General features: G+C 36.1%; 1 protein-coding gene across 29 annotated transcripts in view, besides 2 other annotated features; it reads right to left on the bottom strand.

Annotated features, from left to right (window-relative positions):
* ROBO2 (roundabout guidance receptor 2) overlaps positions 1 to 25,330 on the bottom strand; it is a 1,743,290-nt gene that overhangs the window by 1,084,755 nt on the left and 633,205 nt on the right. The window lies entirely within an intron of this gene.
* Positions 12,844 to 13,344: an enhancer, noted in NCBI's record as "H3K4me1 hESC enhancer chr3:76601017-76601517 (GRCh37/hg19 assembly coordinates)". NCBI's record gives its function as "activates a minimal SCP1, AML or CMV promoter by ChIP-STARR-seq in primed H9 embryonic stem cells {active_cell/tissue: H9 hESC(primed)}" and the evidence as "EXISTENCE:reporter gene assay evidence [ECO:0000049][PMID:30033119]".
* Positions 13,345 to 13,845: an enhancer, noted in NCBI's record as "H3K4me1 hESC enhancer chr3:76600516-76601016 (GRCh37/hg19 assembly coordinates)". NCBI's record gives its function as "activates a minimal SCP1, AML or CMV promoter by ChIP-STARR-seq in primed H9 embryonic stem cells {active_cell/tissue: H9 hESC(primed)}" and the evidence as "EXISTENCE:reporter gene assay evidence [ECO:0000049][PMID:30033119]".

Genomic DNA, 25,330 nt, shown 5'->3' with positions numbered 1-25,330 from the left:
ATTCCTCTGAGACAGCTTAAGGCATTGAAATCTCATTAGAATGAAGGGGATAAATAGATGGTAGTAAAGGGTAGAGCTACCTTCCCCCATTTGAGCCATTCCAAGATCACTTTAGCTTCAGATGGCTAATTGTTATCACAAAAGGGTAAGTAGGTGTCTTAGCTTGCCTGGGATGGTCATGATTTACACCATGGTCTGAAAACTTTTTTGTACCAGCCTCCCTCTTTTTCATCTTCAAAATCTCCCAATCAGATAAATTTTATGGTCATTCTACATATATGACAATTTTTACAAAGTAAATCTAAAAGATGTTATAAAGCAAACATTAAACATGTGTGTAAAAGACAAAATCCCACACAATGCAAGTATTACCATTTTAAAAGAGAGAAAAGACAAGAAAATCTCTTAAACCAGTACATTTACATGGTGAAGATAAAACAGCTTATCAATTTCCTGCATTAGAAAAATGTGAACTATGAAATCGAAATCTGGCCTGTCCCCACCTGTGTGTACTGGGAAGATGAATTAGTCGTTTCAGGCCAGGAAGCTTCCATTCTGTTACACTTGAAAATGTCATGGCCTCACAGAGCCTGGAAAGATTAACCTGTGTTCCAAATCCCAGCCATTGACTTCCTGCTCTCTGACTGACATGTGGACCACATAATACAATTTGGATAAAAATGTGAGGGAAAACTGCTTTTGATGAACTTGTGACTGTCTTCCTTATTAAAATTATCCCATGTTACAACAGGGTCATTGCAGACTAAGAGATGGGCAGTGAATTACTCTAATCAAATATGTATAAGTGGGCCCCAACTGTACTTGGCAAGTAAGAAGCTCTTTATTTATTAGTGTATGTGATTTCTCTTAGGCTCATAAAAGCATTTATGATATTTCTTCAATACAAACTAAACACCAGTTTTTCTAAGTTAAAAAAGTTGCTTTGGAAACTGTAAGGAGCATAATATTCAGATGACAGCACACTTCTATTCATTTTATTTTTTGAGACGGAGTCTTGCTGTGTCGCCCCGACTGGAGTGCATAGGCACTATCTCGGCTTACTGCAACTTCCGCCTCCCAGGTTCATGCGATTCTCGTGTCTCAGCCTTCCAAGTAGCTGGGATTACAGGCACCTGCCACCATGCCTGGCTAATTTTTGTATTTTTAGTAGAGATGGGGTTTCACCACTTTGGCCAGGCTGGTCTCGAACTCCTGAACTCAAGTGATCCACCCACCTTGGCCTCTCAAAGTGCTGAGATTTCAGGCAAGAGCATACTTTTAGATCTTACTTGAATTTTAAAAACAAAGAACTGCTTGTTTATGACCTGGACTTCAAAATCTGTAACTACATTAGTACTGTTTATTATTTTTTAAATTTAAGTTTAAAAAATTGCTTAAGGTAAAGTAATCGTGTAGACACTGAACATTTACTTTCTTATTATGATAACATATATTATGTCATGTGGAAAAATTGATAATACTGTCTCTTAGGGACATTAGCTGTGTTCAAATGTTTAAGTTAATCTACAGTCAACATATTTGAGTCCTAAGGTAATTGATGCAGGCACATTACAAACTTCTTTTACCATTAACATCCATAATATCAGATAAACAATTGATGAGTAAGAAGCAAATAACAAAGATCTGGGAATTCAAACTAATTATTTTCCCATATCAAAATTAACCCATCATAATATAATTTAGCATTCAATAAGCACTTTTCATAAAGGGACAAGAATAATAATGATAAAAAAGCTAGTCCTTATGAACAAATTAAGAGAAACATTTACAAGATTCTCAACAAGCAGCAATCAAACATGTTTTGAGTTGCTTAACATGGAAAAGGTGTGGTAGGTTAGTGTTCTCAAAATTATCATAGTTCCTGCCTTCACACAATCCATTAATATATTAATCGGCTCTATTAAAACAGATTACTTAAGAAAATCACACTTAAAGAAGAAATGATGTGCAGAGTGTCTGATGACAGAGCTAAATATCCATTTTTTCTTCTAGTAGAGAAATTAAGACAGTTTGTTAATTGACTGACTCATTGCATCTTCCCCAATTTTTCAAGGTATTCAGAACAGCATCATAAAAAAAAAAATCCTTCAGTTTGAGAAAGGATAGGCAAACTTTCAGAGATCATGCCAACTTTTTCCTTACTCCTTCCCTCAATGTCATCTACCCAAGAAACTGTTGGCTCAAATCTGAACAGAAAAGTAAACAGATAGATGAAGAAGGGAGAAGAAAGAAGGAAGGAAGGAGAAAGAAAGAAAAGAAAGAAAGGGAGGGAGGAAGGAAGGAAGGAAGGGAGAGAGCACAAGAGAAAGCTGCTCACAGAGCAAATTAGGTTTTCCATTAACAATATATATTCATTGAATTGAAAGTTTGTATTGTATGTCATCACAGAAAAAGAATAAAGGTAGAATTAGACGAATATATTTTAGTCACAGACCTCATTCTTAATGAATAGTATAAAGAAAGACATGACAAAATATTATTTTGGTTGTAATATACCAGATAAAAATGAATGGCAGAAACTATAGTCTGCAAGACAAAAGAAATCCATTTAATTAGAATCATTGGAGGATGGCGACTTTTATTCTCCATTGGTTGTTTTGTAAGAGTAGAAGAGCATTTGAATGAAAAGGGACAGAGCTGGAAACGAAGAAGGGCTCTGACCGAAGGGAGTCTATACTATGCTTATCTTGATAACAGACACAATGAAAAGAATGGAAAAGGTTGAGAGAGAGAGAGAGAGAGAGAGAGATCAATCTTATAAGATGCATGTATCAGTAGGAAGCTTGAAAGACAAAAATGGTCCTAATACATATATGACTAACATCGGAGAGTGTATTCATTCATTCTAATCATAGTATTATTGGCTGTTACTATCTGCTATAATCCAGGTATTATAGGAAGTATTTTATGCCTGTTATTTTAGTTTTTCTGGGAATCCTACAATAATGATTAGATTATGCTCATTTTATAGATGGAGAAACTAAGCCTCAGAGAAGTTAAATATCCCATCCAAGCAGAAGCCAAGAAGTGGTGAATCTAGAACTGGAAATGTGGTCTGGCTGCCTTAACCAAAACAGGACTCATCAGGCATGCTCTGGGGCTAGATTTCCCAGATAGTCAGATGCTAGGCTCAAGAGATGAATAAGGCATGCCATTAAATTGAGATGTAAATGACAGGGGCAGATGTTGCCCTCTCCCTGAGATACAAGAGGAAAGTGCCAGCAGACTTCTATATGAAGTTTCCTGAAAAGGATGCATGTTGTCCTGAATTTTGAAGAAGGTCTGGCAGAATGAAGGGAAGTGAGGATTGGCTTATGCAGATATTCAAGTGGATGAATAGCACGGAGAAAAGGCTTATGTCATTATGAGAGGGAGTGTAAGAGCAAGTGCCTTTCTTGGATAAAAAGGACCGCATCAAAGAGTAATAAAAATAACAGTTAAAGAGTAGGCAGGAAATTTTGAATGTAAATCATGTTTTTGCTTACTCACTGAATGTTTGTCTTATCCCAGTCACATCAGAATGCTTTTATCCTCTGAGCTAAGTACTTCCTGTGCCTACCACTTGCTCAGCACACAAATGCTTCCTTGTTCTATCTTTGCCTTTTGATGCCAACTAATCAGATATATTTCTTTAAATATTACTTGTTTTGCATATAATAGGCACTTAACAATAATCAGTTATTTATGGCAAGAAAGTAGCAGCATTTTCAGTTCAGGTTGATCCAATTAAGGCAGAAAAGAAAGGGGTTTGCTTAATGTTTGTTGATATGACATATTTCCTGAAAGTTATATAAACTTGAGATGATAACAATTTAAGGAAAAATATTATCTGCATTGTTAGTATTCTCTAATTTTATGTTTCTAAGGCAAGCTGAGTAAGTTTGACTGCTTCCTCCTCTCGTCCTCTCTTTAAGTAAATTTAATTTCTCATTGAGTAAATTAACTTATTTTAGGATTCAACCAATTATTTTTGTTAGTGATGTGCAGACATGATAAAAATAATATCTTTGAGAATATACGTTATCTAGTTAAGGTTGGAACATGATGCCTATGTGGACATCATATGTATATATTTTTTCAGGCTATTCCATGGAAACAGTGAGCTATAATGGTGAATATATCTGTGTGTGTGTGTCTATATATAGAGAGAGCTTGACTATCACCATTATAGCTTGACTGTTGAGCTTGTATAAATACACACACACACAGATATACTCATATATATATATATATATATATATATATATATATATATCTTACTTCTTATATATAAAGGAGGGATAAAATGAGATAGTCAAGCTCATGATACCCTCATGATACCCCCATAATGTCAAACAACTAATTCCATTTAGGGCCAGTAAATCAGTTGGTTTGGTGCATGGGACAAAAAAATGGTTTGAAAGATTTTTAAATAAAATGTTAATAAGCTGATTGTGATGGAAGGCATTTTTACTTGAAGAAAAGCCTTAGAATAAAGCAGTTAATATGTGGGGGAAAAAGGGTTCCTCCTGACTATAGACTTACCGGGAGTCAGTAATGTGAGTTTTCTTTTCTTTTCTTTTTTTTTTTTTTGTGAAATCAGATGTAATCAGAGTCCTAGTACTAGTAGTCATATCAGTAGTGCTAATGATAATGATGATAATAATAAATAATAATGACCATGATAACAATTAGCTGCTATCACTGGGGACATTTGTTGTGTCAGACACTGTGCTGAGCTGCTTACATCCCATTTAATGCCTCAAAACATGGTTTTGTGGAATTTAGAAACATAATTAAGATAATATTTGATAGCTCTTTTTCAAATTATAGTTGAAGGCTAATCATGTACATGTGTATCACCTGAGACTTTAAAACTTGGTCTCATGCAACATATTAGTGGAAGATATATTTGGGTTTCATATAAGGAATATTCTTATGACGGCTACTTTATAGAAATAAATTATCTTGTGTCCAGACGTGGTAATTTAGATCATGCATTGCAGCACAGTGGTGCTTTGTGATCAACTGGCATAGGTGTGTTGGGTGGACAATATCAAGCAGATGGGAAATTCAGAGAAAAATGTAGGAAAGACATCTATTTTAACTGGGAGAAAAATAAAAGAGAAGCAAATTAATATATACAGAAAGGGTTATGTAGCTCTTATAGAGAAGTAAAAAGAAAGCAATCAAAACTATGGACTGCATTGCATTGCTCTAAGGATTTTAAAGTGCAGAATTAAAGTTTTGGAAAACTGCACAGAGTCCATTCCCAGGTGCTCTTGCAATGAGAGCACTCCTCATGGTAATAGCATTACAAGTCTGGAGATGACTTGGGGAAGAATTTGTGCCATGAAAATAAAGAGACAATGAAATTTAAAATTATATATAAAAAGTACTGCATTAAAATGTCAGGTCAGTGCAGGTAATAAAGCCGTAGTTGCTTATCCATATGACATCACCTGTTCCACTAATTGATATTTCTTCCTAGAAGCAAATCTCAGGAGCCAAAGGTGCACAGGTGCCCCATGTCACTGGGCCTCGAATAGGAGGAATTACTATAGTATCTACTTATATTGCTCATCCTTCCCTTACCAGCATCCCACCGCTTTTGGCCAAAGACTTGGGAAGAGTATAGTAAGAAGTAAACACTCTGTTACAGCCAAATGGTGACTCGTCTTCAAAAAGTTTGTACATTATTTGTGAAAAACCAACCGTATCAGTTTTTTTAACCAATTGGTTGATTGGTTAAAACGAATTTTCAAACATTGGTTGAAATGTTCCACCCAGTACACCCATGCCAATTGATTGCAATGCACCACTGCGTTGCAATGCATGATCTAAATTATGTCTGAATGCAAGATAATTTATTTTTATAAAGTCTCAGTCATAAGAATATTCCTTATATTGAACCCAAATCTATCTTCCCCTAATATATTGCATCATTGCAAGAGATTCATAGATTTATTGTTATCCCTATCACAACGTGACCATTGTTTATTGACATACAAAAATTCACACACCAGGGAGCAAAACTGAACAAAAATGTGTGGTATCTTTATGTGCCTGTGCCTTATATTAATGGGTGGGAGGAGAGGAAGAGTTTAGAATTGCATATGTCTATAGAATTGCCCCGTATGTAAATACCATCTGTTTCGTGTGCTGTGTGTAGAAATGAGGATTCTGGATGTTACCCTGGATATGTGGTCTTTAAAAATAGAGACCTAGGTTTGTACATTTTATATATTTTGCTAACAGTCTAGAGTCTGGGATACCAAAGATGCTGAATACCAAAATAAATGTTTATTGAAGTGAGCCCATCTCTGTTAAATGTTTAAGCAGACTCTTCACATTATCGGCAGAAAAGTCTCCAGAGGTTGTTTCTTTCAAACAAACTGATTTATTCTGTTAACCAATATGCCTATATCTATGTAATACTAACGATTGTTCAATGTTTCAAGTGTTTTAATATGCCTTACAGTCATCTTACAGTTATTGTTTGTCTAAACTAGTGAGAAACTTGTTTGCATCAGCCCTAATGCAATTGGGAAAAATGCAGCCCATTCTGTACAACATCTAAAAAAACCCTGAGGAAAATCAAAGTATAAATTCAAAATTATAAATATAAATTTGGTTATTTTGTATAAATGTAAATTTTTCAGAAGATGGAAAAAAGGCCCATGTACTTGTGAGAAACTGTTTTAAAAGTATAGAGGCTTCATTATCTTAATAGTTCAGCATGCTTTATGCCATATAAAATATTCAAAACTGGGATTGCCATAGCTTGAATAGCTTATAACTTCATAATGACATTTTTTCTCTCATAGCACAGGCAACATATATTTTTTTCTAACTTAAGACACTTCTAACTTAAGAAAATTATCTGAATAGTACTTGAATATTTTCATGCCTCTTGGAATAAATTATATTCTTTTATTCTGAAACTATGATGAAATCATTGAAAAGTGTCAGAAGAGAAGACCCTAGGAAAGCTATTAACTATTTATCATTTTCAGTTCACACGGGAATATGAATTCCACTTGCCAAAGAGTTTATTATTGATCAACTTTAGGCTGAAAGGCAACTATCACAACAGAGTTGATATTCCTAGCTGGGTTTATCTTGAATATATTATCTTAAACAACAATACAGGACATGCTACTTCGCTTTTTTGGTGTTTTTGTGGTAATTGTTATCAACTCTAACAGAAATTAGTTCAAAATAGTTGAATGCCTCCCCATTATCCGCATGATAACTATTTTGAAACATAGAAGCTCCATTGTTATATTTAACCCAAGTAAACAAGTAGTTTTTTTTTTTTTTAAGTAATTCCAGCAAATGAAGCTGAAAAGCAAGAATGAGGAAGGCACATGATATAATAAATTGTAGAATGAAGCCAGGAACTCGGTAAGAAAAGAATTTTCAAGTGACGGAAGGGGAACTGAGTTCTAAGTCTAGAATACTATCAATTCAAATTAGAACAAGAAGTCAGTGTACGGCAAGAAGAAAATCAAAGGAATTCCATGTATTTCATCTAAATGGAACATATCTGTTTAGAAGCAAAAGTGGAGATAAACTTCTTAAAGTAAAAAAAAAAAAAAAAAAGGCACCCTTTATAAATTTAAAAATAAAATCTCTCCCAAGGACATCAGTTTCCAGATAGCAACTAAACCAACTGAGGCACAATTTAACTAACTAATGGTATATAGGAAAGATAATTCATTTGATCTTTATGTTAGGATCCTTTGAGTGGTATAGAGATGATGGTATTGAGCCCATCGAGAATGAAACAAAACCTTACCGTACTAATTTGCTCTGCAGAGATAATATTTAATTGCTTATAACTCCCTAGAGGATTTTTGGTAGATTTCAATTTTTAGATGCAATCTTTAGGTCAAACACTGAAAGCTTAATTATGTCCACTATAAACCATAAAATATTATCAACCTTGACAATATAAAAATAATATATTACAGAAGTTGGAAAGGGGGAGAAATTGTGAGATATATGGAATGACAGAATGCTAATAGCAACATCTTATAGAGTGAGCAGCTTCAGACACACAGCTAAAATTTAAGAGGAAGCAAATGTAGGGTCACTGGTGTATTATTTAAAGCTATAAAATAATCAGTGAAAAAGCTAAAGGTATTAAGGTAACTATCTAAAACTGGGTGGCAAATAATATGTGTAATTGTAAATAAGCTAAATGTTCATCTTTAGTCCAAAAAGTAGTCTAAATATGATAAATTAAATAATAAAAGCATAGCTTATTATTTAGAATTATGGAGATGACTATGAGAGAACAAACATCGAAAAGGTGAAAAAATGGATTTTACTGGGAGGTATGTTGGGTTGGTTAGGTCAGGCTGTTGTACAACTTATTTTTTACGTGTTATTTGCTTTGATAAAAATCTTAAAAATGCATAATAACTTGAATTGGCACACATTCCATTATAATATGGATCTATAATATACACACATATTCTACAAGTACCAAAGTCACTATGAATTAATTTCTTTTGATAACTAAGGCTTTTGGAAAACATAAACACATATTTTTGTCACATGAGATAATAAGCATAGAAATGAATAAATTCACAAAAATTCCAATTAGAAATGTTTACTTACATAATTAAACTTCACATCAAATACCACCCATTCTTTTTATTAACACTTATAATATGCATATGTATCAACTGTCACAATACTGATATATTCACTGAATCTAGAATACCAAATCACTTACATATATTTTGCCTCTCCTCCCTTAAAAAGTACAACCTCCACTCTTTATGCAGAGCAATATATTAGTATTATTTTTACTTTGATTGAGTATTATTGTCTTTGTAAAATACATCACCCCCTTTCCCTTCTGAGGCTTCAGAGCTACTAGGAAACATATTTTCCTTCCCTCCAATTTCTTCATGCCTAAGGTGGAAAACATATGGAAGACCGGATTTCTTCATTAATACATATATACAGCTTAGAAATGTGGTGTGAATTCTTAATAGGATATACTAATATCTCCTGAGGACTACAACCTATGGAGTTTTTCTTTTTTCTTTCTTTCTTTCTCACTTTCTTCCATTCTTTTTATTTTTTATTTTTTGGAGATGGAATCTGGCTCTGTTGCACAGCCTGGAGTGCGATGGCATGATCTTAGCTCACTGCAACCTCTGCCTCCTGAGTTCAAAGTGATCAAGTGATTCTCCTGCGTCAGCCTGCCAAGTAGCTCAGATTACAGATGCCCACCACCACACCTGGCCAAATTTTTTTGTATTTTTTGTTTTCAGTAGAGAGGAGGTTTCACCATGTTGGCCAGGCTGGTCTCACACTCTTGACCTCAGGTGCTCCTCCTGCCTCAGCCTCCCAAAGTGCTCGGATTATAGGCATGAGACACAATGCCTGGCCAGAGTTTTTCTTTTGGTCATTAAACCACCCTTTGTTTGAGAACCTCTTAACTAATTACTCATTACTTCTGTCAAATTGATATAGTATTTACATTTAGAAAATTATTAGTGTCTTAGGTTTAAAAAAAGGCAATGTAAGCCTTAGAGTACTTCATTTCTCAACTTAAGTCATGGGAAATTCAAAGAGCCATCTTAATACATTTTAATCTTCTCCTGTTACCCCTCTACAAAGTACCTGAGGTTTTATTCCAATTGGCATTAAGCATACTTCATACATTGTGTTCTTGTTTCTGACCATTTTCAACTCAAGATGAGAGGGATCTATTTTTTCTTTTCCCTCTTCCTCTTCCTCTTCCTCTTCCCCTTCCCCTTCTCCTTCTTTCTTCTTCTTCTTCTTCTTCTTCTTCTTCTTCTTCTTCTTCTTCTTCTTCTTCTTCTTCTCTCTTCCTACTCTTCCTCCTCTTCCTCTTCTTCTTTTTTGACATGCTCCTGGGTACCTCTTCATGAATCTTTTCCAAGTTCTAACTTTGGATAATTTATGATCCCTGCACATGTTATTATTAAAAAATGCTCTGGGAAAGCACTAGGCAATTGTTATCCTATCCTATTTTCCTCTCCTTAAAATTGTTTGCATAGAATAGACTAGGGATTTTTATATTACTTCAATTGAATGTCCTCCATTTCATAGAGAATTAATAGTACTGACCTTGATTTATTTATTTTTCATTTGGGGTAAAGACTTTCTATAAAACAAACATTTTACACTTTTAAATATAGTTCTTTTTTTTTTGCTGGTGACAAAAATAGATTTTAACCACATGCTTTTGTTGTGCAAGCATCAACATCAAATTCACAGTTCACCATGCCATAAATACTCATGCCTTGGGAACGTGCCAGACACATGCCTTTTTCAGTAATGTGATTTTTTTCCCTGATTCTCCCACTGTAGGATTGTAACTCATGAAAGCAGCTAAACCATTCGGAGCAGCCTCTGAGAAATGTGCCTTTTTATAAAAAGATGTGCATAACATCAAGGCCCTGCTCATTTTAAAATAAAATTAAATCAATTAAATACTGAAAGCCTCTCATTATATAGAAGCAGTTTCCCTACATGGTTGTCGATCCTATTTCAGGTGAATACTAGATGATGGAGCTCAAGAAAAGTGGGACACACAGTAAAGTAAAGGAAGATGAGAGAACAGAATCTAAGCAGTTTACACAGGGCTGTTTGCCTTTAGACACGCAATTACAATGTAGGCAACGAAGTGGGACATGGAGCAGGGAGTGGTAAGACATCATTAAGTGTTTAAGCAAAAGCATATGTTAGGAAATACATATCTTTTGTTTCTATCTTTATTTCTGTTATTGCAAACATAACATACATTCATGTTAAACAAAAAAGCGTAAACAACCAAAAAAAGCCCAAAAAGAAAAAGTTCCTACTGTACTTCATGTCCTCATATCTACTCCTGGAGATAATTACTGTTAACAGTGTTCTCCCTGACATTTGCTGTGATATGTGTATATAATTTATTTTTCTTAAGAAAAGGCTGTTCTGTTCATGGTCTTTGGCAAGTTCCCTTTTTCTTCAAATATCTCTCCACATTATGTCCATAGATGTAGCTCATTCTTTCAAACAAGTTATACAATATGTTTTCATATGAATCTACCAAAAATTGTTTCACTAGCCTCTCTGTGTGGATATCTAGGGTAATTTCATTTTCATGTGTGTGATTATAAACCATGCTAAAATAAAATGCGAGTGTTCACGTTTTTCTAATTCTTTACGTAAATTTTCTGGGTCTCCTGGTATGCATATTTCAAGCTTTGCTAAATATACCCAAGTTCTTGCATGAAGAATGAAGGCATAATTGCCTCTGCTACTCCACTGCCTGTTTTCCACACCCATGATAATAATGAGCATTAGCAAGCATTTTAATATATGGTGGGCTGATACACAATTTCATTGCTTATGAGCAGAAAATAGAACTTTTAGTGTGTTCAAAAAGTTCAGAGAGATTTACTGTAACCACCCCCATCTAATCTATCATTATGAACATGATAAATACCCTCACATTTACATGAAACAGAAAGCTCTTAAGGAAAGAAATGTACAGACTAATTCTGTACAAATAAATCTGAAGATCACAGATTTATTTTGATAATTTTAAATGTTCCAGGATCCATAGTGATGAATGATTTTAACATTTTCATTTCACATAAGTGTAATAAAATCTAAGGTTTCAAGAATCCTGGCTAATATCAGACCACTAATTAGTAAAAAGTAGAGCCCAATATCTAGTGTTTCTTTAGTCAGAAATATCTCGCTCAGATCATAACACTCCACTGAAACTCTAAGTTCACAATGACCTTCTGGTCATTAAAACTACTGATTTGTTTAAAATTGTTATAAAAACCGGGTAGCATGTGACATATGATTTATCGTCTCCTTGACAGTCATCTTCCCTTAGCTTCCCTGATTCCACGCTATTCGATATCTCTTCTGCCACACTGTCTGCTCCTTCCTTGTCTTCCTCTGCCCATCCTTAAAATGTTGCTCCTTCTCAATGCAGTTTTGACCCCTTTCTCACTCTAATTACAATCCCTGAAAGACTGTTTCCAAACCAGTTCTTCATATATGTTTATATGTTGATGTCCCAAATCTATATTTTAATCTCAGCTTTCTCTCAAGGTCTAGAGTTGACACTATGTCCTGCTCACTTTCACATCCTATCTCTCCTATTGAATTCATCAGCCGTCTACCCCACCACTTGCTTACCCATCCATTCACCAAACTTGCTATTCAGGGCGTCTGGAATGATCTTTCTCAAATCAAGTTTTCTCTTACTAATATCCTTTGATGGCCTCCTATTGCTCTTAAAATAAAGTCCAAAGTTATTTAATGTATTTCACAAGACCTGTCATGATCTGTTTCCAAACTAATCCCTCACACTCCCATTACTAAACTCTTAGTTATGTAACCAACTAAATGGAACCCAATGGAACTACTTTCAGTGGTTGGAAAGGTCCATGCTCTGTCTCATCCTTCAGGTTAAATTGAGATATCATCTTCTCTGGGGTCCACTCAAATATAGATTATATATTCTACATGGGTTCACAATAGAGTGTTTGCCATAGTTTCCACACTACACTATAATTGTTTGTTCAAATGTTTTCCCTTCCTCAGTCTGTGAAAGGTTTATTGTTTTTTGAATATCATGATATGAAGCAGAAAAGAGTTGTTTAATAATTAGTTGTGGATTAATTATATGAAAAGAAAGCTGGCATATTAATTATATGAAAAAGAAAGCTGTGGATTAATTATATGAAAAGGAGAGAAGCTGGTTACTTCTTCTAAGATGAATACTCCTATGTGAATTATTCCATGTGTATTGTATGCTAGTTTAAGGGCCAGAATAAATGTTTTACCTAGTGAATTCTAGCTAATTGTCTTTGAATCTGGATTTCTCTTCATGAATTATGGTTGTCCCTCAGTATCTGTGGGGGATTGGTTCCAGGGCCCCCGACAGATACTAAAATTCTGGGATGCTCAAGTTGCTGATATAAAATGGTATAGTATTTACATATAACCTATGTGTATCCTCCTGTATACTTTAAATCATCTCCAGATTACTTATAATATCTAATACAATGTAAATGCTATGTAAATAGTTGTTATACTGTCTAAGAAATAATGGTAAGAAAAAGACAGATGCAATTGTCACAGGATCCGTGGGGTGTTGCCGTGCCAGCCGGAAACCTCTGTGGCTGGCAGCACCTTCTGCTTGAGTATTGCTCGCACCTGCTGGGCTCATTCCACCCACTCAGCCCTGCAGGCTGCACTTGGCTCACACTGCCAGACCAGATCCAGCACTTGCCAAGGATGAGCCATTCATGGAGCAGTGAGGGATGTGTGGGTGAGCAAGCACGGGGTCCAGACACTGCACACAGCCAGGCATACTGGCTGCTGTGGCACAGTGGGCAGCTCCAGGTGCCAGCACAGGTACTGGCTTCATGCAAGGCTGCAGTTGGATCTGATGTACCACAGGCAGCTTCCACTGTGGGCACCCATATCTGGACAAGGGGAACATGGTGGTGCCTGGAAGTGTAGAGATGCCAGAAACTGCAAAGCCCCAAGAGGGTGTCACAAAACCCCAGGAGGGTGTCACAGCGCTGGTTCAGGGATCCTCTAGGTCTGGGCTCCCTGAAGGGCCATAGCTCCTCATTCTATCCTTCTCGTTGCCCACAATGTGGTGAGTAGGGTGGGGGGCGTGTTTCAGCCCTGTTTGTGTTACAGCTTTTTCAGTCCTGCCATTAGGTGGGTCCTGAGTTCTTGTCCCACGTCCAGGATGAATGAGGTACGTGGACAACTGGAGGGTGAGCAAGACGGAAAGGAGCTTCATTGAGCAACAGAACAGCTCTCAGGAGACCTGAAGTGGGTAGGTCCTTTCTGCAGGCAGGTTGTCCTGATGGGTATTCAGCTCTCAGAGGAGAGTAGACCTTTAGTAGGTAGCTCCCTTCTGTTCCATCAGGCAGGTCGTTCTTACGAATTGAGGAGACTCAAAGTGGGCAGCTCCTTCCTGCAGCTGGTAGTCCCAACTTCTGTGTGAGTCTGGCTGAGTCTGGGGTTTTCATGGGCTCAGAAGGGAGAAAGTTCATGCTGATTGTGCTTCCATGGATGGCCATGGGTGGGACTGGAAAAAGCACCATAAGTTCTCACTCTGGGCCACCAACTCCACCTGGAGCTGGCAGCTCGCCCCCGAGACTCCTAGCTGTCCCTGCCTAGAAGGTGGAGTTTCACTAGGGACCCAACACTTTCCGCCCAGGAACCTGTCCGCCTCCTGCCATCAACATGCCATCCACAGCACCCAGGCTGTTCACACTAAGGGTTGCCTGCAGGCCTGCACTAAGCTGCCCTCAGCTCCCCCAGGGATCCCTCCCATGCTCTTCAGTGACCAAAGTCTGAAGAAGGCTGAGGCAGCAGGGAGCTGGCATGTCAGTGCCATCCCGAGTGTGCACATACTCAGCCAGGTCGTGCCAGCACCTGGGTTTGGCCACAGCTTTGCTCCACACCAGAGTGAGCACTGGGTGCGGGGAGAGGCCAGAGAGTGGGAGCAGGCACTTCTGAGCCTGTGGGGGCAGGAGCTTCCCAGGCCCCTGAGAGTGCAGGGATGCCTGGGTCTGGAGCTGTGGCTGGACAGTTGCAGCTGTGCCTGGGAGTGAGGGGCTTCTACCCCACCAACTTGGAAGGGGGCAGGGCTCCTGCTCCTTCCTGGGCCCTCCTGGCCCTGCAGAGCACACAGTCCCAGCCACGCCTTTCCAGCTACAGCCAGTGTCTTTGCAGTGGCCACTTCAGACAAGCTGCTGCTTCCAACACAATTAAAAAATATATTTTCTATCAAATATTTGTTGAATTCATGGATGTGGAATTTATGGATACAGAGGGCTGACTACTTTTATTGGCTACATGCTAACTGGAAATATTTAGAAGGCATTATCACATATTTTTGCTTTTCTTTTTCCCCATGCAGTGGATGAATTCTTAAATTATGTATATTAAACATGTGACACAGGAATGCGAGTTAGCAAGAAGTGGTCATTTTACGAGTTAGTTAGAAGTGGTCATTTATAAAGGAGACAGATGATAAGCATCTGTCAATTACTATGGTGAAGATACATGGCAAAATATTTAAAAAGTAAAGCAATAAAAAGCAACAACAAAACAATCCACTGAAGCTACATCAAGAATATTGTAATAACAGTCAGATGTTTATTACTTATATTTAACATTTAAAAAATTCAGTTAGATTATTAGCTGCCTGACAGTAGGGAACATTCTAAAACTGTAAAAAGGGAGAAACAAGAAAGGGCAAATCATCTTTACAGTAAGAGGAATGAGTTTACTTTTACACATAGGAAGCTTGAGATGATGGCAGGATTTGGCCAAGTTCTCAGATATGTGAAAGCTTCCAGATAAACAGACAGGCCACAACTTGGACTAACCAGTGAAAGTTTTAAGGTGACAAATCCCAATCAAACCTAAGGAAGAATTTTCTAGTAGATGAATCTTTTTTAAAATGAAGTAGGGTGCTTCTGGAGAAACTGAATCCACTATCCCTAAGATGCGTCACTACGTTATTGATGGTCACTTACCAAGGCTGATGAACAGGAAACAGGATAAACTATCGGAAAGGGTATATTGATGGAATATTCTCAGGTACAGGCATATTTTCTGCTCTACTTGTTACATTGAAATATCAACTTGATTACAATCACTAAGTACTTTAATTTAAAAATTCTATCACCAGACAGAACCTTCTCAGAGGAGAGTTAATGGTTTCCTCCCTGCCGTTGCACTGGGCATTGACTCAGGAAAAATCTCAGTAGAGGCAACACTTTCCTAATAATTTTATCTAAAGAGGAGGTAACGTTTTACACCACAGCCACTGTGGTCTGCTCTTCGGGGCCAAATTACGGGAAATGATGGAGATTCTGATAAAAGACTTTGGGGAAAAGAGTTCATATTCACATTGCCAGAACTCAGTATATTTATATGAAATTTGAATTGGAGAAAATTTGCCTTTCATGACAATTTTTAAAACTTAAAAATAAAAAATGGTGTTTATAGATGATTTGGCATTATGAATGTTCTAATTATCAAATTCCCAGTAAAAAATATTCTTCTCGCACCCCAACCCCAAATATTATGAGATATGTTTGTGATCAGTATCATAAACATCTTAAAACTTTTTCAGGGAATTCTGAAAATTTATTAGTGTGATACTCTATCTCTACAATAATAATTATATATAAACTTAAATTGTTCCTAGTGTCTTCAGGGATTAGGAAATTGAATTGCACAAACTGTGGATTTGACTACTCAGTCTTCACTATAATCCATGGTGGAGCTGGAGTGGGGGCAGTGTTTATGAACTCTTCCCACGGTCATACATTTTTCTGGTAATTGAATGCTTTCTTGTTTAGAGACCGTATTCATCTTTCCATTGTCATTAGCGTCCCTCTTTCACCTGATTTCGATTTCTTGATGTTAGTAGACACAAAAATTTTGGCTATGGTGGAGAAATAACTGTTACTTCTCCCATTTACTCCTCAACTTTATTGCTTTCTCCTTGACTTCTCCCGTCTATTAAAAAAAAAAAAAATCCTCCCTCTGGTTCCCAGGAATAAAAGTGATAAGCGATGGAATTTCTTTCCATATTTATTTCTCAAGATTTCAATATTTACTTCTCAGTCTCTTCTTTCAGAATGCCCACTCTTCACACCACTCTTGTTTGTGAACATGTGGGATTCTCATTTGTCATGTCTGTTCTTCAATGGTATCCCTCTCTTACCCATTCTCAAAGACAGGGTGCCATTGGCTTCTGTATTCCAACCCCTGATCTCTCCCACTCAAGCCTCATGTTTTATACTATTTCCAGGGCTGGAATCTATGTGTGTCCAGATTCAACTGGGAAAAACAAGGCAAAGCAAATATTTACTACAAAATTTCATTTTTTTGTCAGCATATGGAAAATGCCAGACCCATAGTAAGCTTTCAATGACTGTTTGTTGAATGAATTGAATGTGAATAAGCACTCTCCTTTTAACCACTGTGTCTTTCCTCTTGGGAGATAGAAAAATCAATACCAATTAAAAGAAATATTCTGAATATCCAAACATCATGATGAATTTACCTTACCAAAAATAAAGTAGTGAGTTTTATATATGCACCATTCTGTGCAAGTGAAAAGGTGATTGATTTAGGAATATGGCATGCTATTAAAAAGATACTGATCTTTATCATGTGACTTGTTTCACATGACATTAAAACAAATAATTCAATCTTACCAGGACTGTAACAGCAATCATATGATGTCCATCACAGAAGATGTGCAGTTCTTATCCCCATAGCAACATCTGTAGTGCTTATGCTAATCACTTTAAATTAACCTTGATATAAAAAACAGTACCCTAGAGATAATGCTGTTGTTGTGGCAGTCAGATGAGTAACGTGATTTTCTAATAAAACTCCACAGCAAAAATTAGGGTGATAACAAGATCCTGTTCAAGCAAATTTTTAAAATATGCATTGGTTAAACCATAGCGTCAGTGCTAGCATAGAGGTAATTAGAAGTATCACAAATAATGAGCTACTTTATTGATTATTGCCCTCTTGTAACCCAGCATAGTTCAAGTAGAGGAATGTGTTGAATAATATTCAATTTAAAAACACAATATAATAATAATTTTACATCTATAACTTGAAATTTCAGTATGAGTTTAATGCTTTCTTTCTTTTCTTCCATAGATATTTTCTATCATCAGCAGAGCATAAAAATAAACTTTACCCACCTAGACATAAATCCATTAGTTCAAAAAAAGCTGTGTTTTGTAAAACATGTGGTGTTATACAAATGACAATACATAGGCTTTAAGGAAAAGTCACATGTTTTTATCAGGGGGCCAGTGAATTAAGACAGTGCTTTAAATTGAACAAGGTTATCTGACAGCATATACATAAGGAAAAAATAAATATGCTGTCAAACTTTGCAAAATGTGAAAGAGGAAGACCATTTAATTTTAGTACAAGTAAATTATAGAATTTGCTATTAAAAACATCTTTATTTTTAATGCACTTTAAGTGTGCTTTAGTAAAATATGAAATAAGAAATCAAGTTATACTAGTTGGACTGTATCAAGAAAATTAAAAGGGAAAATTTTTGATTTCTGGAAATTAGCCTAACTGCTTTTGTGCATTGAACTTTGAAGACTCTCTAGAGTAATTAAGTAATTAAGTTTTGCTCTTAAACTGGATTGCTTAAATATGGGGTAGCTAATTTTCAAAACTGTGAATCTAAGCATTGCTTGGCCCAAAGGACAAGCTCTTGAGGTTGAAACTTTACCTTTTCAGTAGTTTGAATTTGGCTTAGGTCAATATAGCAAAGACATCAAGACAGCAATGTGAAGTTTTGTGTAGAGTAAAAATCAAGTGTTAGACTTAAAAAAAAAACTCGTGTTAGACTTCCTTGTAGTAGAAACAAAAAATAATTTACTGTCAAACACTGAAGATAGTGGTCATGTAGAGGTGGGTAACATATTAATTTCCTATGGCTACTGTAATAAATTGCCATAAATTGAGGAGGTTAAAACAACACAAATTTGTTATTTTACAATTCTGGAGGTCTATTTTCAAAGCTAGCAACAACAGATGTAATCTTTGTCACATTGCCATTTCTCTGGCTCCCTTCTTCCTCTTCTTCCCTAAGGATCACATCAGAATCACCTGGACAACTCAAGATACTCTCCCTAATGTAAGGTCAGTTGATTAGCAACCTTAGTTCCATTTATAATCTTAATTTCTCTTTGCCGTGCAAACTAATATATACACAGGTTCTAAGGATTAAGACATAGGCATCTTTGGGCAGCACTTTTACCTTCTACACAGCTGAAATTGCTAAAAATAATTAGTTAACAGGAAGAATTTGATTTGCTTTGTGACAGGAAACAGTACCAGTATTTTTCTTTAAATTCCATTTATAGAATTATAGGTAGTTAAATTTGCCTAATGTTAATTAATATCCAATAACTATTTAGATTTCTGATGGAAGAGAGAAATATTTTGGATTTATACTGTTTATAGCTTTGCACACGGACCACTCTTGAAAAATATGTCTACTTGAGAATTTGGAATGATTTTACCAAGGAACTTCTATATACACCCAATTAGGCCATAATATTATTATCTTTATAATAAAACTGTGGATGGGAACTTAGCCATTGTCACTTAATTCTAGTGAAAAGTCAGGAACAAAAAGTAACAACAAAAAATACCCTCCTCTAGTATAATCATTGTAAGTCACCTTAAAACCCTTTCAGAACATGGAAATATACTGTTTTCGTAATAAATAGAATATTGCCTTATTTAAAATATTTAAGCTGGAAAATAACTAAGTATATGTGCAGATATTACTATTAACAATATGTTAGATAGAATTAGGCATTAATTTGAAAGAAAAAATTTAGAATAAAACTACACTTTTTGACAAAGTATAAGATAAATTAAGAAAATACAAAATATACTCAAGAAAAAAGATCAGCATAACCTTGGATAATTGAAATCATTTTCTATTATGAATTTCAGTTTATGATGATAGAAAGATATTTTGTAGGAACATATTTCACGAGAGTCAAAGTTAAGGCTGTAACTGAACATGATTAGAACATAAAAAATTAACAATGTTAGAATCATTAACAGCAGGGCTGTTGAAGACAGAATCCATAATTCTTCAGGCTCAAGGAGAATCATCTCAGTTTCCCCAGTAATTACTTGTAAGCCTTATCTTAAGAAAACTTCCACATTTTCGAAGGGAAATGTATATCACTTTGACAGAAACATGGAAAACTCTTTTGTCCAAAACTTCTAGGTGATGACTTAACCGACAGTAGGTATGCAATGTTAAGAATTTCTATAATTACATCTAATTCAGGACTTGATTGTCCGACATAGATAAAAATAGACCCTTAATTTCACTTTACTTCTCAATGAATCACATGCATTTCGGAATGTAAACTGTACACGTATTGCTTAATGATTTTACAAGGCCTAGTACCCTAGAGAAAAATCGAAGTATCCACTTAACTTGGGTCTCTCTGCCATATACTCCTTTGATGGCAATACTGAACAGAAATAGAAGATGGATAAGTTCAGTCAATGTTATGATTTGACATAATATGGAGTAAAAAAAAATCCAGTTCGTTTGATTGTATCTTCTGTGTAAGTTTAGCCCTGGACATCAATATCTACTCAATGTGTGGGATATGATGGAGGGGAATCTCTTGTCCATGGACTTGTGCAATTGCGTATAGGAGTCCGAACTAGAAAAGAAAGAAACTGCTTGAGTCAACAAAAGGGTAGCAGTAAAGGCTTTTAAACTAATTAAGTACCCCATGGTTATTGGGTTACTACTGTTTATCAGCCACTTTTCTAAGAGCTTTCTATCCTTTGACTAATTTAACGGGCATCATGTCATTGTGAGGTTACTACTGAGGAAACAGAGGCACAGGAAATTGAATTATTTGCCTGTAGTGACTCCACTGTTAAGTGGTCAACCTGAAATTTGAATCTAGGAAGTTTGACTCCACAGTCTGTGTCCTTCTTCACAGTGTACTAAAGCCAACAACTATGTGGACAGAACTAGTCTACAAATATGGGTATTTTAAAACTACATAAAGTCATAATTTGGTATGTATAAGTGTAGCGATAGATGCAGAAAAATGGAATACACTTGAATTTAAAAAGCCAAAAAAAGAAATGGCTGGAGGAAATTTTTAAACAACACATTAAACTTAGATAATACTATAAAACTCTAGTCAAAATAGATTCATTTTAATATAAATAAATGATCATGTTAATTATTTTTGACTTTCAAAATACATCTATATTTTCATTTTTTAAAAGATTAAACATAGATGGATCAACATGGGGTGAAATCAACCTTTAAAGATCATAGACATTAGGGTCTTATGAACATCTGTTAGTAAGAACTTATTTAAGAGGAATCTTGAAGGATGAATTATAATTTTCCAGGTGAAGAAAAGTAGGAAGGATGTTGGTAAACAGCTACTGACTCTTTAGGACATGAAGAAACTGAGCATATTTCTCAACAAGATGAGCTCAGTCTTGGCAAAGTGGCATTGTATCTATAGATGGGTGAAAGGCTATTGTGGGAATGAGATTTTTTAAAATAGTGTCTAAAATGCTAATAAATGTGGATTTTTCCCTCATAAGCAGTGGGAGGAGTATTAGAAGAAAATGAAGAGCATGTATTCAGATTTTTCACCAAGGATTATTCTAGCATATTTTTCCCCTGAAGATCGACTGAGGAGCATAAAATATTTTATAGAAAGAAGCAGCTAGAAATAAGAGATCTGAGGGGATAGCCAAGGTGAGTTATGAGGAGTGCTTGGGAGTGACAACAGGGATTTCAAAAAAAAGATGGTCTGGATTTAAAGATATTTCAGCTGTCACTGAGAAGATGTGGTAGTATTTAATAATGACGCTGGTGATTATAAAAGTTAACATTAGTAAATGCATACTCTTTGAGAATAGAAGCATTCTATTCTTCCTAACAACCCTATGAAATAGACATTTACATCAAAACCGTGGTCACAGATGAGACATGAAGGTGAAATAATTTGCCGCAGTTATAGAGCTAGCAAATGGCAATCCTAAAATTGAAATACAGGCTGTTTGTCTCTGAGCCCGTACTCTTTACCAAACTGCTACATCTTCCTTTCTGTTAGATGTAGGAACAAGGAAAAGAGATGATTCTAAGGTTTCTGATTTTTGTTTGTTTGGGATGAATGGTGAGGCTCAATAGCTTCCTGCTGTGTCCTTACATGGACTTTCCTCTGTGTATGTTGTTACTGGATGTCTCTTCCTTTTCTTATAAGGACACCAGGCTTATTGGATTAGAGTCCCATCCTATGAACTCACTTAACCTTAATTACTCCTTTATCTTCAAATACAGTCACATTGTGGGTTAACACTTCTACATATAAATTTGGGGACAACACAATTCAGTCCATAACAGTCATTGTGAACAATCAGATGAGTGTATCTAGTCCAGAGTTAAAAATACAATACTACTAAGAAAATTTAGAATGCAGATTTTGATTTGTGAATTATCAGCTGTGGAAAATATGGATAATACCATTCAATTAGAACATGAAGTAAGAAGTTAATCAGAACAAACATGAAGTCCTGAGAAACATCATTGTTTCAGAGGGAAAGACAAAAAGAGAAGACGGCAAAGGAGAATGAGAATGTCGTAGGAAAACTGAGATAAACTGACCCTAGGAAGGAATGGATTTAATGACTTGTTAAAGTGTCAACAGCACTAAATGCTGTAAGGAAGTCAAGTATAGTTAGAATTGAAAATGGCATTTAATTTGGCAATATGAAAGGCTTTAAACATCTTGGCAAGTACATTATCAGTAGAGTGGTTAGGGGAAGAGGCAGATATTATTGGACAGAGGAGTAAAGAGAAGTTGAGTAAGTGGGTGCAGTTAAGTGTGGATTATTCCTTTCAAGATCTTGCGGAATGAAAGGAAAGGAGAGAGAGAGGAAGCATCCTGAAGGGACAGAAAAAAGGTGAGCAGATCTAGTCCATGAAAGCTGGTCCAGGCTCACAATAAGAAAAAATGAAGACTTGAACTCAGCCTTAGGTTACTGTTCCTTAGAATTTCTATTCAGTCAGTAAACAGCAGTGCAAAAACATCCATACCTAAGATCAAAAGATACAATGAGTAGATACAACTTTCCTATGACCAACCTCAACACCTGGTATTAAGTGACCAATCTGCCAGGCAAGGGAAGCCAAGGCCTGGACTTCCCATCTTTACAGGTTAAAGCTTAGGGGAATACTGCAGAATGGGGTGCGGATAGAGAAAGGAAAACCAGCACAGAAAGGTTCACCATATTCCCATATATTAATAGAAATAAGTGCTGATCACTATTATACATTCCTGCATCACTAGACCCTATAAGACATTCCAGAGCTTTGGCCCAGCAATCAATAACAAATTTACTTCACTTTTAAAAAAAATATAGAAGGCACCTAAACATGCCTGTAGACTTGATGTGATTGTAGATCAAAAAGAAAATGAGGGTAGAGGAAAAGAGTCTAAACTACAAGAGAGAAAAAAAATGATCACTGAAGCCTTTGAGAAGACAAATGGGGATGAAGTACTGCACTTAAGTGGGCACTTTAGTGGCAGAGAGGAGGGAAGAAGGAAAGAAGCATTTGGTGAAGGTAAGTGCTGAGATGAAAGAAATCAAGAAACTTCATGTCTTGTAGTCTTTATTTTCTCAAGAAGGAAGTGGGAAAGTAATCCCCTGGGATGGTGTTAATATATAATACACAAAATGGCTCAAGAAGCCTGGAGGCTGTTTTGAACAAAGTTGTGAAAATGAACAAGGTAGGAACAGCATGACAGACAAAATGAAAATCAAAACCTAGGTCACGTAAAAAAGAGGTAGAACCCCTAGTTTCTAGTCCAAACAATGTCAGCCTCTTAATACCTTCCCAACTACTTACACCAGGTCTGAAATCACCTCCTCCAGGGAAGCGCCTCCTCTCTTACGTGTGCCACGCCATCAGTGGGATCCAACAAAACACTCAATTTACTCTTCTCTCTTTGCCATCTGAAGGCTGTGGGCTCTCCTATGCCAATTCTCACTTGTCTTTACATCCCTGGCCCTTATAACAGGACCTGACTGGTATAGACTAGCACATGGCACACACACATGAAATAACAATGAAGAAATAAACACCTCTTCAGCAATTAAAAAAAATACATCTTAGGTATGTGAGAAATTTGATACTGAGAATAAAACTGGCATGGGAATCAAGATTTGAAAATGTTTATCATTTTAAACTGAGCCGGATAAAGCATAGCTGTGTCATAAATTTCCACACATGTTTGACAAAGATACCAAAGAGAAACCAATGTAAAGAGTATTAGATGTTAACCCCTTTGAAGATAGGCTGTCTTATTTATCAAGCCTAATAAGAAGTAGTTATTCCATAATTATATGTTGAAGGAATGAATACCAAGGAATCAATCATTACAAGTGCCAGGAGGAGGACTAACGTTTAATTGATAATTATTTATTTAAACTAAATGAAAAGTCGAATTGGCTTCATTTGATGGCTCATGCCTGTAGTCACAGCATTCTGGGAGGCCGAGGCGGGCAGATCACTTGAGGTCAGGAGTTTGAGACCAGTTGGGCCCACATGGCGAAATCCCATTTCTACTAAAAATACAAAATTTAGCTAGATGCGGTGGTGCATGCCTGTAATCCCAGCTTCTTGGGAGGCTGAGGCAGGAGAATCACTTGAACCTGGGAGACAGAGATTGTGGTGAGCTAAGATCTCACCACTGCACTCCAGCCTGGGTGACAGAGCAAGACTCTTTGTCAAAAAAATAAATAAATAAAAATAAAAATAATTAAATCAAAAGTCAAATTAAAAATAACAAACTTTTCTTTTTTTCTATTTCTTATGTCAAGGCCAATGGTCCTTTGTTTGTGAATTTCAAAATTCATAGAGAATAAGGCAAATGACAAGGGAAGAATAGTGTTCACTGCATGGACTACCTTTGAGCTCCCAACTTAGTGTTTACTTGACCAGAAGTTTTATATATTAAGCATATATTCTAGAAGTTAAAACTTGCTCAGTCTCTGGATAGTAAGTTTATGGGGTTTTTAATTTTGTCAATTTTGCTTATTTGTATGTCCTAGTATTTCTGCAATGGAAGCAGTTAGTAGCAAAGAACAGCTTAATATTTTTCAATGAGCAAAGGGATGTAATAGTGTCAGTCAGTTAGACCATACCACTACTAGGTTCACAAAAATAAAAGGATTCTCTTTTAGCTATTGCATTAAGTTCAAACTTCTCTACTTAATCCAGCATTACCCTCTCCATCTAATTCCATTTCCCACACATTTAAGAAGCACAACTTCACTCCAGTTACCAAACAAAGCTCTCATTATTTATCCCTTGTAGTCACTATGTCTGCAAGCCATTTCCCTTGGCCTTTTCCAATTCATATTCTTCTCCTCCTTTAAGGTCCCTGACATTTCACTGGAGTTTTGTCTCTTCCAACAAACCTTTTTTTTTTGTTTCCTCATGCATACTCAACTCTGTTACAGGAATGCCTTTTTAGGCAAGTAAGTACCATTAAAGGTTATGCTGCATTCTTGGAGTGTCCTTTAAAATGGAAATATCTGTGTTAACTATCTTGGCTAAAATGCAAGGTTAGCTGCTCTCCAGCAGGGTCCAAAAACTGGGTACAGATTTCCTCAGGTATATTTAATTTTTCATAATGCATTTCATTACAGCTGGACATTTGCATGA

This window comes from Homo sapiens, chromosome 3 (genome assembly GCF_000001405.40).
Source record: "Homo sapiens chromosome 3, GRCh38.p14 Primary Assembly".
Classification (NCBI taxonomy): domain Eukaryota; kingdom Metazoa; phylum Chordata; class Mammalia; order Primates; family Hominidae; genus Homo; species Homo sapiens.
This window is presented reverse-complemented; position numbering and strand designations above follow the sequence as displayed.